The sequence below is a fragment of the Homo sapiens genome, chromosome 9, assembly GCF_000001405.40.
Source record: "Homo sapiens chromosome 9, GRCh38.p14 Primary Assembly".
NCBI classification, from domain to species: Eukaryota; Metazoa; Chordata; class Mammalia; order Primates; family Hominidae; genus Homo; species Homo sapiens.
This window is the reverse complement of record NC_000009.12, coordinates 99015701-99029274: the sequence shown is the minus strand read 5'-3', so window position 1 is coordinate 99029274 and position 13574 is coordinate 99015701. Positions and strand designations below refer to the sequence as shown.

At 48.5% G+C, this 13574-nt stretch overlaps 1 protein-coding gene across 1 annotated transcript in view; it reads right to left on the bottom strand.

Annotated features, from left to right (window-relative positions):
- Window positions 1-13574, bottom strand: part of COL15A1 (collagen type XV alpha 1 chain) — a 126881-nt gene that overhangs the window by 41513 nt on the left and 71794 nt on the right. The window contains exons 11-16 of the mRNA NM_001855.5: window positions 13156-13299; window positions 8833-8886; window positions 7125-7184; window positions 5826-5918; window positions 4276-4401; window positions 3309-3371 (exon numbers count right to left, since the gene is read on the bottom strand). Of these exons, the coding sequence (NP_001846.3) occupies window positions 3309-3371; window positions 4276-4401; window positions 5826-5918; window positions 7125-7184; window positions 8833-8886; window positions 13156-13299 (540 nt within the window). The remainder of the gene's footprint in view (window positions 1-3308; window positions 3372-4275; window positions 4402-5825; window positions 5919-7124; window positions 7185-8832; window positions 8887-13155; window positions 13300-13574) is intronic.

Below are 13574 nucleotides of genomic sequence, written 5' to 3'. Positions count from 1 at the left end.
TTCTGGACACTGAAGAAAATTTCCAAGCACAAACTCTTTCCTGCCCAGGTGTCCCAGTACCTTTTGAGACTGCAGAATAACATGAATGACTTAGATTCTGAAAGTAGAAAATCAACAACAACTGTTAATACTAGGTGTGTTCCGAGAACTGAATGGCAGAATCTGCAGTGCAAAAGCAGAAAGGAATGATTTTTCAGAGATCCATCTTCTTCAGCAAGTTCTTCTGCATTCTTTCTAGAAACATTCTACTGCTGAGAAAGCAGGCTACTCCTCACCCATTCCTTCTTGGGCTAAAGATCTTAAGAGTTAGTTGATCATCTTGATTTGGGAAAAATAAAGTAAGGAATATTTCTATCATCGAACTCAGCATAGAATAATCTATTTGATAAATTCTTTTTGAGGTATCATTTAAAAAATATTTTAATTTGTATAATTTCAATACGTTTTTTGGGGAACAGATGGTATTTGGTTACGTGAGTAAGTTCTTCAGTGGTGATTTCTGAGATTTTGGTGCACCCATCACCTGAGCAGTGTATACTGTACCCAATCTGTACTCTTTTATCCCTCACTCCCTCCCACCCTTTCCCCCAAGTCTGTTGTATCAATCTTTTTTCAATTTTTTCTGGAGACGGAGTCTCACCCTGTCACCCAGGCTGAAGTGCAGTGGCGCGATCTCGGTTCACTGCAACCTCTGGCTCCCGGGTCAAGCGATTCTCCCACCTCAGCCTCCCGAGCAGCTGGGATTACAGGTTTGTGCCACTGCGCCCGGCTAATTTTTGTATTTTTAGTAGAGACGAAGTTCCACCATGTTGGTCAGGCTGGTCTTGAACTCCTGACCTCATGATCCGCCCATCTCAGCCTCCCAAAGTGCTGGGATTAGAGGTGTGAGCCACCGCACCCAGCCTGTTATATCATTCTTATGCCTTTGGGTCCTCATAGCTTAGCTCATACTTAAGATATTTGATGAATTCTTAATGAGCATCATGTTTTGATCTCAATCTCATATTTTATAATAATAATTATTATATAAAAAACATTTTTTTCCAGCTAAATAACCTGAACCTTATTCTTTGTAGAGAAAACTCCATTTTAGATAACTGCCTAGATTGGTCTATGTGCTGTGCTAAAGAGAAAGGAGGCTGATTTCACCACAGCAAATGGAAAGACTTCCCTATAAGTGGATCTATCCAACGGTGCAAGGCACTGCCTGGGCAGGAGATGAGTTCCTTGTCACTGGAGGTATGCAAGTTGAAGGGCAGATATTGTTGATGGGGAGTCAAAGATCAAACGAATCATTGGATCTTATGATCTACTACAGCCCTGAAGCTGTTCATTTCCTTTAGCACATTTTTTGTTATTTTACATACTGAATATGCACCTTGGTTTATTAGGGACTTTTTTGGTTTTGTTTTGTTTTTAAGGTAAATATCATGTGCAAAGTTTCCTGCCAGCTCTCCAGATGCAAATTTCCAAGTTCTTCCAAGTCTGTTTTTGCTTGATCAGAAAACCTCATATGTGCACAGTGCAACAAATTGAGATGCATAGCAAATTTCAGAAACAAATGTGATTGATCTCCAACATTCACCCTAGGCAAGCCTGCTGCTCCTTGCACTGCTGATTCTTCAAGCAGCTGCAGAGTGCCTGTGCAAGGGTGTTTTGTATGCAGTTGTGGGTGTGGGTATCTTTAAGTTCGAGACAGAGTATGGGAGGGGTGTGTGTGGGTGGGTGGGGGGAAGCCTGGAAGAAGAACAGGTAAGAAGAGTGTAGGTCTGTGGTGCTTCCTGCAAAATTTAATTTCTGTAAAACTGTTGGTACATGTAAAATGAGTTCTATAAAGCTTGACAATTGTATCTTTTTCTGAGAAATAAGCTTTCCACGAAAATTGAGTTATGGTTCCAATTAAAATAAACATACTCCAGAGCTGACGGAAACTAGAAATTCAGTTCAGTGATGATGGTGGTGTCTACAGAGTCAGCATTTTCCACGTCTTTGTCCATGAGAGGTTCACAGAAGGCCCCACTTCTGATCCCAGCTGAGATCTCTCTTCCTCCTCTAGACCCCAGTAAAACCCACTGATCGCATCCCTAGCACAGGGCTCACCTTGTCTTTATTGCCTTCCTTTGACAGACATGGCTTATCTCATCAAGCTGGGAACACTGCAGAGGCAGAAAGCACCCCCTACACATACACGCCCCAGGTAGCACCAGCACAGGCTTGCAGACAGGAGGCAGGACCAGCTTACAGACAGAGAATGAAGAGGATGAAGGCAGGCCAGACTCTGGGAAAAGTAGACTAATGGTGTCTGAAAAAAGTTTCATTCATGCATCAAACACTAATAGAGGCTTGTGCTAGGTTCTAAGGAGAGAGAGGCAGTACTATGCTCTATGTCAGGGTGGGGGTGAGGAGCAGACAGGTAAGCTAACACCTTTAGTGTCACTGGCAAGGGAGGTTCTCAATAGCATGGGAACTTCCTATGATGCTCATAGAAAGGGGAGGAAGGAGGGGTGCTTTCTGCTCATAATGAGTCAGGGAGAGCTCCCCAGAGGATGTATCTGAACTGGGTCTTGGAGGATGACAAAAGGAAAAGGACATCCCAAACAGGGAGAAAACCATGTGCAAAGGCCAGGAGGACAGAAGGGAAGAGCGTGCCCAGAGCATTTGGGCAGAACCAGCCCACTGGCCAAGAGGCCGTGTGAGGAGTTGGGGGATGCACTACAGAGGCAGCTTGTGCGAATCAGGAAGGGCCAGATGTCTGCACAGAGCTAGGGTGTGTCCTGCAGGCAGTTGAGCCCTTGATCTTTTCTCAGTAGCCAGGGCAGGGGCTGACGAGAGCCTGCTACAGGAAGGTGAACTGGGCAGGAGGCTGGAGGGTGGGTGGAGAGAATGGGACAGCAACTGGGAGCCCAAGGCCACCGTGCGAATGAGAAGAGATGAGTCCAGCTCAGTGGGGAGACAAAAGTGAGAGATGTGGAGGTCAGACTGGGCCATCTTGGCACTGACCAATCATACCAGGAAAGGGAGGGAAGGAGGAGTTAGAGAAGATTCCATTTCTCGCTCCAGGTGACCAGGTAGATGGCAACACCATTCACTGAAGCTAGGGGCAGACAAGAGTGGGCAGGGAAGGTGCTGAGTTCAGGCTTGGGCATGATGAGTCCCATGATGGAGACATCCAGCAGAAGTGGCCAGCAGGGGATTTCAGGAGGCCAGGGGGTCAGTCACATAAGAGGCAAGGTCAGGTTTAGGGGTCAGAGAGAGTAGTGTGGGCCTGGTGGCTCCCATGTGGTGGGACCCTCCCGTGTTCCCCGTACCTTCTCCCCTTTCATCCCGGGAAGGCCGGTGGCTCCATCAACTCCAGGCTGTCCCTCAGGGCCCTGGGGAACATCAGTGACAATCAACCCACAACATTTCTGCTAAATATCACATACACACGCTTGCTAGAAAAGGAGGGCAGGGTTGGGAGGCAGGTGAGGCTGGTGGGCCCAGGGCCTCATGTCAGGTGCAAGGCAGGAACCTAGTCCTTGGCCCAGGCTGGGTCACTGCTGACTGTGCACCTGTGGCTAACTGTCCTTCACTCTCTGGATTACATTTCCTCCTCTATGGGGAAGTTAGAGACAGGGTTGGACCAGATGGTCTCCAAGGGTCTCCTACCCCAGGCCCAGCCCTGATGGCCTATGATTCCAAGATTCTTTATGAATCTGTGTCTCCTGTACAGACGCTTCTTGACTTACAATGGGGCTACATCTGATAAACCAATTGCAAGTTGAAAATATCTTAAGTCCAAAATGCATTTAATACACCTAATCTACTGAACATCATAGCTTAGCCTAGCCTAACTTAAACATACTCAGAACACTTCCATTAGCCTATAGTTGGGCAAAGTCATCAAACACAAAGCCTATTTTATAATAAAGTGTTGAAAGTGAAAACAGAATGGCTGTATGGGTACTCAAGGTAAAGTCTCTGCTGAATGTGCATCACTTTGCACCACTGTAAAGTCAAAAACATCTTAAGCTGAACCATTCGTAAGTAGGGGGCCATCTGTATTGACTATGATAAAGCAGCAAAACAATACGTAGGATGATGTTTTTCTTGGCTGCTGCTTCTTTCGAATCTCAGCAATGATTCAGATGAGGAGGATTTCTGTTTACAAACAGCTAGCTGCTCTCTCCCCATCGCGAACCTTGGACAGTGCTGGGTTTTGCAATCTGTACACCCCTCCCCTGCTAAAGGAAGCCCCACAGCCACAGAGATGGGGAGAAGACTTCAGTTGCTCACCGGGGGCCCAGGTTCACCAGCAGGTCCATCCTCTCCAGGAGATCCAGGGGGTCCCATGAAAACATCAGTTCCTGGTTTTCCTGGAATCCCAGGTAAGCCAGGTGGCCCTGGGGGTCCTGGAGGACCCTAAAAACACAAAGACTCTGTTAGAAACAGTGGGGGAATACCGAATGAGATACTGAGTATGTGCTTCATGCAATCTCTCAAATTCTTTCAACAATCCTACATGTAGGGTTTGGTGATCCCACTTAGCAGATGCGGAAAATAAGGCTCAGTGAGACCATGCGACTCAAGGGCTCTCAGACACACAGCTAATTAGTAGCAGAACTGGGATTTGAATCTCAGTCTTTCTGAGCCCATCATATCGTGTTTTCTCCCAAAAGGCTGAATACAAGAAAGATCCAATTAGTTGGAATTCTGAGAGGTGCTCTGGTGAACTTAGTTTTCTGATTAACTGTGAGGTCAGTCAGGACAGATCACAAGGTCAGGAGATCAAGACCACCCCAGCTAACATGGTGAAACCCTGTCTCTACTAAAAATACAAAAAATTAGCCGGGCGTGGTGGCCGGCACCTGTAGTCCCAGCTACTCGGGAGGCTGAGGCCGGAGAATGGAGTAAGTAAACCTGGGAGGTGGAGCTTGCAGTGAGCCGAGACCGCGCCACTGCACTCCAGCCTGGGCGACAGAGCAAGACTCCATCTCAAAAAAAAAAAAACAAAAAAACAAAAAAAACTGCTTGTGGTGTAGCCTTGTTTTTAAAACTCTTTCTGAAGTGCACTAGTGTTTTTAGCCCATTGCTGGGTTGGCTGATCCCACCAGGCTGGGAGATTCATTTGGCTCCCATTCCATTTAACCACGGAGTCCAGAACCCTTCTAGCCCTGGCCATGAGGAGTGGGCAGAGGGGCAGCCAAGTGGAGCTTTCAACCAGGGATTCAGCACAGGCTCTCAGGGACAGAGGCACCAGCTGCAGCTAGAGAAGGTAGAAGCTCCCCAGGGGGCAATTTCAGAAAGGACTGGTGGAGCTCCAGCCTTGGCAGGAGGCCAGGGGAGCAAGAGGCACCAAAGAGAAAGAGTAGCCTGGAGAGGGAGGCAGGGAGGGAATGCATAAGGGAAGGAGATTTCAGGAAGGTTCTGGAAGCTGAAGTAGAATAGCCACCCAGAGACAAAACCAGCAGGTCTCTTTAATGAATAGGGTGAGAGGAGGGGGAGGGAGGATTGAAAGCCAGTTGGCAGAGGTGAAGGGCACTGGGCACACCTGCTGCAGGGCAGCCTGCTCAAGAAGCCCACCAGGGAAAGGAAGAAGGTGGGGTGAGGAGGTCCTGAAGATAAATGTAGGCTCGTACTCACTTACAATGCAACTGATCAAAGTGAACAATTTCAAACATATATACAAGCACAAGGAAAAGTAGAATGAACCCCCATGAGCTCACTGCCGGCAACCCCAGCAGCAGCCAATCCAGTTTCATCTGTCCCTGGCCCCCACGTCCCTCCCTCTGGGGTTATTTTGAAGGCAGTCCCAGACACCAGGTCGTGTCCTCCTTCACACTCACTCTCAGCAGCTGCTCACTGCCCACCAGGTCACCAGAGCCAGAGCCGACGTCCGAGCCCCAGCCTAGGCCAGAGCCCTCTGCTTCTGCTCCTGCCTGGAAAGAGAAGAAATTTCCACTACTTGCATTTAACTGCCAGACTCCAAGGACAGCCACGTCACTGAGTTTTCTCCAAAATGGGGAAATGTTTCCTATATCCTATAGCCCGATAACTTCTGCTCCCCGTTTTCTCTCTGACTTTTCTCCCACTCCCCTCTACAGCTACCCTTCTCTCTTGCCGCCTCCCAGCTGTGCAGCCCACTCATGTCCTCGGCCTCCTTTCCTGCCTTTCAATTCCCAACTCATCCTTCAAGGCCCAGTTCCGCAGTCTCCTCCTACACGAAGCCCTCCCTACCCCGTTTCCAGGCAGAATTCTCTCCCTCCACAGTGCTCCCACTAGCCTCTGTCAAGGTCTCAGTGAGATGCTAGGACCACCTGACTCGAAGCTTAGTTGTGCGTGGGTCCATCGGCTCCTCTAAACTAGGGCTCAAGAGCCAGCCCAAACCTGAGACACACTGGGTGCCCAGAGTCCAGCAGGAGGCCGAGCACCCAGAGAGCCCTCAGTGCATACTTGAATGGCATCAAATGTATCTGAAGAACAAGGGGAATCTTCAAAACACCTTTCCAGCACTTAACTCCTGAAGACAGGAACCAGGCAGGGCCTAATTCATTCATTGAATGTGTGTGTACTGAGCACCCCCTGAGAGGCACCCAGAAGAGCTGGGTTTGGGGGTTACAGCTGTGTTTAGGAAGGTCACAGTGGTGGGAACATGTGTGTGGGGGAAGGGAAGTGGTGACATGGAGGCGGAGAGACCAGTTAGGAGGCTGGTGCCATCGCCCAAGAGAGGAGGAGGAGGCACTGCACAGCTAGACTCAGGGGGACATGGGGACACACTGGGCAGGGCTGGGGAAGGCAGAGGACCACTCAAGGATGTTTCTCTCTTGGTGACCACATAGATGGGGTGCCATCCTCAGAGATGGGGAACCCAGGAGGAGAAGCAGGTCTGGGGCATGGGTAATGAGTCCAGCTTGGGAAGTGTTGAGTTTGAAGAACTTCTGGGATGCTCAAGGTGCAGGATTTAAACTGGATAGAAATCAGTTCTGCTGCTGCACACTGCAGAGTCCTAGTAGAGGCAGAAAGCCCTAGGGTCTGACTGCAAGATACTTTGGGGGCCAAAAAGGAGAGTCCTCAGCCTGTGGCTGTTTTGGCCGCATCCCTGGTCTTACACCTGTGTGTGTGACAAGCCTGGATGGGAATCTCACCGTGGGTCCAACAGGCCCAGAAGGTTCAGGAGGGCCAGGAAGCTCCTCCCCAGCATCACCCTAAAGAGAACAAAATGGTCAGTGAACGGCTGGAACTCTGTTCCTACCATCTCCCCACCTTTCTGTAGAAATCGTGCTCATCTTTAAAATCAGGATCACACAGGAAAGAAAAATGGCATTGTCCTTTGCAGAGACAGCTTAAGGGAATGCCTTGTCCCACCCCAGGGCTCAGAAGCCCTTTGTTTCTGTGCCATACTTGGAGGGCACAGGCTGTGGTGGAAAGAGCTGACCAGTATGAGCACGCATCACACACACCCTCCCTTCTTCCAGGATTTATCCCCACCCTCTGATCTGGGCCCTGCTAGAGCACCAGTGCTCAGTGCTCAGGCCCAGTGTGGACTCCCCTGAAGCCTGCCCTGCCCACCTGCTCCTCTCACCAGGGCGTGTGACCTTTACAGGAACATCATTGCTCACAGTCTGCCCCTCTGGGACCATGTGCCCCTCAAGGGCAGGCACAGTGCCTGAATCACCTCCAGGTCCCAGCACCTGGCACAAGGCTAGTGCCCCAGAAAATGCTTTTCGAATGACAGAAGCACACATTTGGAAAAGAGGCAGATGAAAGAAAATGACAGAGTGGCATCCCAGGAGGTTTTGGCTGTCAAAAAGGGCCCAGAGAAGTGGCTTCTCTGACAAATAAGGTGACAGGATGGCCAGATCCACCAAAAGGAGAGAGGAAATGTCCACAGTAAAGTCCCCAAATCTGTGTGCCTCCTGCTACACCCCAGAGCCCTGCTCCATCTGAAGTCCACTGAGGTAGCCAGAGGCAGAGAGAAGTGAGGACACCGCCCTCCCCAGCCCTGGCCCTCCCTTCCCCACACCCCGGTGGGCACTCAGGAGGCCCCAGGACGGGAGCATCATCTGCTGCAAGGAACGGCCTCTGTGCAGCCCAGAGGGAGGTGAGACAGGCAGAGGACCAGGGTCATGGTGGAGATGAGAAGGCTCCCAGAGGCAGCCAAGCTGCTGCCTATGGCCAGAGCAGGCTCCCTGGGCAGGATCTCTTGACTGGGGTCACTGTGGACACATCCCCCTGGGAACAGCTTATCACCAATAGGTGTTTTGGTAAGAGGAATTTGTTATTCCCGCAGTGACTGACACCAGCTAAAGCACTTCTATAAACATCCCCTCACGTCATCCCACACCGCAGGGTCATCATCACCACCTCCATTTTACAGATGGAGAAACTGGAGCAAAGAAATAGTAAAGAACTTTCGGGAGATCCCACAGCTACAAAAAGGCAAACCTAGGCCTGTGGTCCTCAAAAGCTCTTGTCTGCCCAACATTTTCCCAGGAAGAAAATCAGGGGCAGAGCCCAGAGCCCGGACACAGAAGTGAAGAAAACTGGTTGCAGATGTGTGGCAGAGCCAGGTGTGGAATCATAGGACCCTTTGATACTCGACAGAGAAGCCAAGGCCCACGGAGGTCAAGGGACTTGGCCACGGTCACCAGGTGGTGAGAAGAGACTCAGTCAGAACTGCCCAGTGCCCTTTTCCTGATTCTCCCAGACCTACAAGTCCATTTCTTTTGGGCTTAGCCCTCTTGCTGCTTCTGCGATCCCCTTGATCAGAGTGGGCTAAATCAAACCTAAATAACATGTTCAGGACACTTGATCAGGAGCCAAAGTGTTCCCCAGGATGGTCACAGCACAAACCTTTTCTCCTTTGGGCCCAGCCTGTCCTTTCATTCCCACATGTTCTCTTTGAGCCTAAAAGAAGAAGATTTGGTTAAAACGTGGCCACAACATATTTGGGACATGGGGCTGCTGAGTTCCGATGACATTCCCTGGTCCTGGTCAGTGAGCTGGGCATGAGCTAGGGCTTGTACTGGGCTGAAGTCAGTGAGCCCCATGAAGAGAGAGGCTGCCTGATCACTGCACCATCCCCTGCACCGGCAGATAATAAGCTCTCAGTACCTATTTGCCAAATGACTAGTGGGAAGAGCCTGGCATTTGGAGTCACCCACACCTGACAATCAGTCTTCTCTCTCACTTGTGTTCCACAACACAGATTTTTAAATATATTACTTCATTTCCAGGGCAACATTCTCCATATATTTGTTAAGATCTATTAGTCAGTCCTTAGAAATGTAATGACATCATTGTGACCAGTGTGGGCTTTGCTAATCAACTTCTGGCTCCCGTCTGAAGACAGTGGTTGTAAACAGTGCAGAAAACCAAAGCACTAAAAAATCCAGAGACAAAGGCTCTCACTCCTACTGGACCCCTAGGAGCAAAGCTCTAATCCTTTCTGGGCCTCATCTGCAAAATAATTCTAGACAGCTAATTTATTGAGCATGTACTATGTGCTGGGTCATGTTTTCCATGGATGAACTCATTTAATCCTCACAAATCAAGAGGTAGGTTCTAAGATTATGATTCCCATTTGATGCATGAGTCAACTGTGACAGAGAGAAGTGAAGAAAACTGGCCACAGATATGTAGCAGAGCCAGGCAAGCTATACTGTCATGGTGACTCTGAGATTCAAACTGACCTAGAGTCACCATGGCAGTATAGCATGCCTGGCTCTGTCACATATCTGCCAATACTGATCCTAGAGGCTGGGCCAATACTGATCCTAGAGGACGGGTGCAGCGGCTCACGCCTGTAATCCCAGCACTTTGGGAGGCTGAGGCAGGTGAATCATCTGAGGTCAGGAGTTCAAGACCAGCATGGCCAACATGGTGAAATCCTGTCTCCACTAAAAACAAACAAATAAGCAAACAAAAAAATTAGCCGGGTAGTAGCGGCACATGTCTGTCTGTAATCCCAGCTACTCTGCAGGCTGAGGCAGGAGAATCGCTTGAGCCTAAGAGGCGGAGGTTGCAGTAAGCCGAGATCACGCCACTGCACTCTAGTCTGGGCAAGAGAGTGAGGCCCTGTCTCAAGAAAACAAAAACAGAAACAAAAAAACTGATCCTAGAGATATCCCAAGGTGGGTGCCTTCTTGACAATCTTGTGCTTTTAGACTCTGCTCAGGAATCGGGGCATTCATCTGAGTTCATTGCAGATCCCTAACGTGGGGACTTAGCAGGAATGTCTTCATCAGACATCAACCATGTCTCCGTTTCTCTCTCTCATTCTATCTCTAACTCTCTCTGTGTCTGTCTCTCTCTCTCTCTCTTCCTTCTCAGAGCTTTAAAAAATCTATCATAAAAATTGTAAGCCACCATAGTAGAAAATGTATTAAACCACAATGTATTAAAAACCTAACAACCTTCCACAGTTCCACCACTTTGAGGCAACAGCTGCCAACATTTACAGAGGGTATTTCCTTCTAGTGTTTTTGCATGTGTGTATTTTTAAATAGTTAACCACACAATATACTAGGTTTACAACCAGCTTCTTTCACTTAACATTATATGCTAAGCATTTCCCCCATCATTAAATATTTCTAACAGGTATAATTTTATTAGCTACATAATGTTCCATTGTTTGAATATACTTTAATTCAATTAATCTTCTATTGTTGGCTAATTAAATTATGCCCAATTTTTCTCTATTATGGACAACACTGAGATTAGCATCCTTGTAAACAAAGCCTTTTTTTAAAAAGCGGCAACAACAAAGGCTATCAGACTATCTCCACTAGAATCAATTCCTAGAAGAGAAGTTTCTGGTCAGCAATATGCGCTCTTATGATTGTTAATATATGTGGACAAAGAGCTTCCCAGGAGCAGTAACCCTCACACTCCCATGAGCACAGCCAGCCTTACCAGACTGACTTCTCAAAGCTGAAAACATCAAGGGTCTAAGGAAGAAACTGACCCAGTTTCTTCAACAGATTAATGGCAAAAGGGAAAAAGAAGGCGGGAGACAATTAGAGATTAAGAGACACTTAAGAGACGTATCAACCAAATGCAATGTGTAGACCTTGTTTGGATTCAGAGTCAAACAAACTGGAAAGAGGTATTTTAAAACAAAATAGCCAGGGCATTAGATAATACGAAGGAACCCCTGCTCATTTTGTTAGATGCATCGTGATACTATGGCTATGACCAAAACAAAGGTACCAGATCACTCTATCAGCCATACACATTGAATTATTTACCAGTTAAATAAATGATAGGATGTTTGGGGTTGATTTTTGAATACTCCAGTATTCCCCTTCTCTCCAAAAAAGATGGTGGTAGGAGGTGGAACAGATGAAGCAAGATTGTCAGTGTTGATAATTATCCAAACTGAACGATGGGTATGTGGGGGTTAATTATACTATTCTAAGCTCCTTTGTCTAAGCTCCTTTGTGACATTTTTAGGTTTTCAATAATAAAACGTTAAAAAGAGAAAGAAACAGGAGAACCGGCTCTATCTGTGCCCGATGTGGCATCACTAGGGAGATTTGAACTTGGTGCTTTGTGTATACCTTGGGGTGAGGTGCAGAAGAGCAGGGGGACATTGTTTGGGAAGTCACAGTGCATGAGCGGGTCAATCCAGAGCTGGCTGCCCACTAGATGCCCTGCAAGCCCAAAGCCCCAGCCCCAGTGTCTCAGTTACTTGGTCTAGCACTGGACTCAGACACCTGCATTGTTTTAAGCTTCCCAGCCATCTCTAATGCGTGACCAGAGTTAAAAACCAGAGTTGTTCTTCACCTTTTTTCCTTTTATAGATGATGACAAGGAGGCCCAGGGCCTACAACAAGTCAGCAGCATCTCTGGAAGCAGAACCTCGAACTCCTGGCCCCCAGTCCAGGATCTTCCCACCACACCACACTCTCATGGATGAGGACTTCAGCTGGGTGAAGCTCAAGAGCTCCAGCTTTGCAGGCCAGCATGCAGGTTCAAATCCCAGCTCTACCTCTCAGAGGCAGGCAACAGTGGCAGGTGACTTTACCTCTCCACATCTTATCTCCCATTCACCTTATACTGAAGAGGAATGTGGTGAAGAGAATCAGGTAAACTTGGAGCACAGAGTGATTAATCAATGTCAGTTCAGATGGCTTACTTCCTGCCGCTTGATTGTGAATTTGTTGCGGACAGGAGTGAGGTCACATTCATCTCTATCTACAAGTGTCCTGACTGAGGGCCCAGAGCCGCTATGTGTCCAGTCAATGAGTGAATCAACGAATGAATGCAAGACAACTCTAAAGAGACAGGAAGCAGCGTGATAACCGCTATAGGAGGCCCCGGAGCAAGGGGCATTCAGGACCTCAGGGGGCTGTCCTGATCTCCCGTCCCACAGCCCCTCCCCTCACAGGTCAGTCCTGCCGCACCGTGGCCAATGGGCCACATGACTGTAGCTTGAGTGGTGGCTTTCAAAGTGTGCATGACCAAGTGGTGTTTGGGGAACTGATGAGCCAATGCTGATCACCAAGGAGATATTTTCCTTTAAAAATGTGTTCACATTGGAAGAGCAGTCCCTCTTCACACAAGCCCAAGCTGAGGGCCAGGTCTGGGTTTCCTATTTCTAAGAGACACAGTTATAGTCCTTAAGTGGTGACAACCCTAGGTGTGGGTACAGAGCTTTGTAAACGTTCTCCAACCTGCATTCATTCTCTGACTTGGCCTTGCAGCCACTCATTTTCACAGATGAGGAAACGGAGGGCCAAAGAAATCAACGGATTTGCTTAAGGTCACACAGTTGTAGCCAAGAGTCATAAAAACTCATGTTGGCAGGGACTTGGAGGTCACCCCCAACACACACACAGCACTGATGCTCTCATCCCCTCTACAGACCCGCCACGTCTTACTGTCAACTTTGTCCCCAGAAGAACACTGACTGTTAGATCTCATTTCAATCCAAAGATCAGTTTGGGACACAAAGCTAGGTCCCCTTGACTTTAATCTCTTGCTTTTTCTCTATGATCTGGAGTTTCCTCAAGCTTTCCTCAGGTTAAAGCTCCTCAAATGCCCAAATTTGCAAACCAACATGAAAACCTACCTCTGAGAAAGCTGGGGGCCAGCCCTTCCCACAACTCTGGCCTTTCTTTCTCTCCCCTGTAAGGTCTGCCAAGTCAAATCTTACAGCTCTATGCCACTTACTGGAGTGATCCATCTTTCAGGAGCCACTGTGGGCAGGGGCAGCGGTGGCCCATCAGGGGGAGGGCTGCCGGACTCTTCACCCCCAGCTGTGATGAGGGGCTCCTCTGTTGTGGCTGCTGCCAAGTCTTCTTCATCACCAGGACCCTGAAAACAAAACCAGCATTAAGGCACCACCTCACCTCGCTCATGAGGCTGCCAGGGAGTTGTAACAGTCGTTTCTGTGGTGCCAGCCCAGTTTCAAAGCACGTTCTTACCTACGATCATCGTTACCCCCAGCACACCCCTTCTGAAATATGCATCTCTTCTAAGCCTCAGTGCCAACTGTGGACCACTTGTCTCTGAGTAAATTCTTGGGCAAGGCTAGGAGGGAGCAGGGCTGTGGCCTCTGCTACACTCCAGCATTGTGTCCTGCCTCCCTC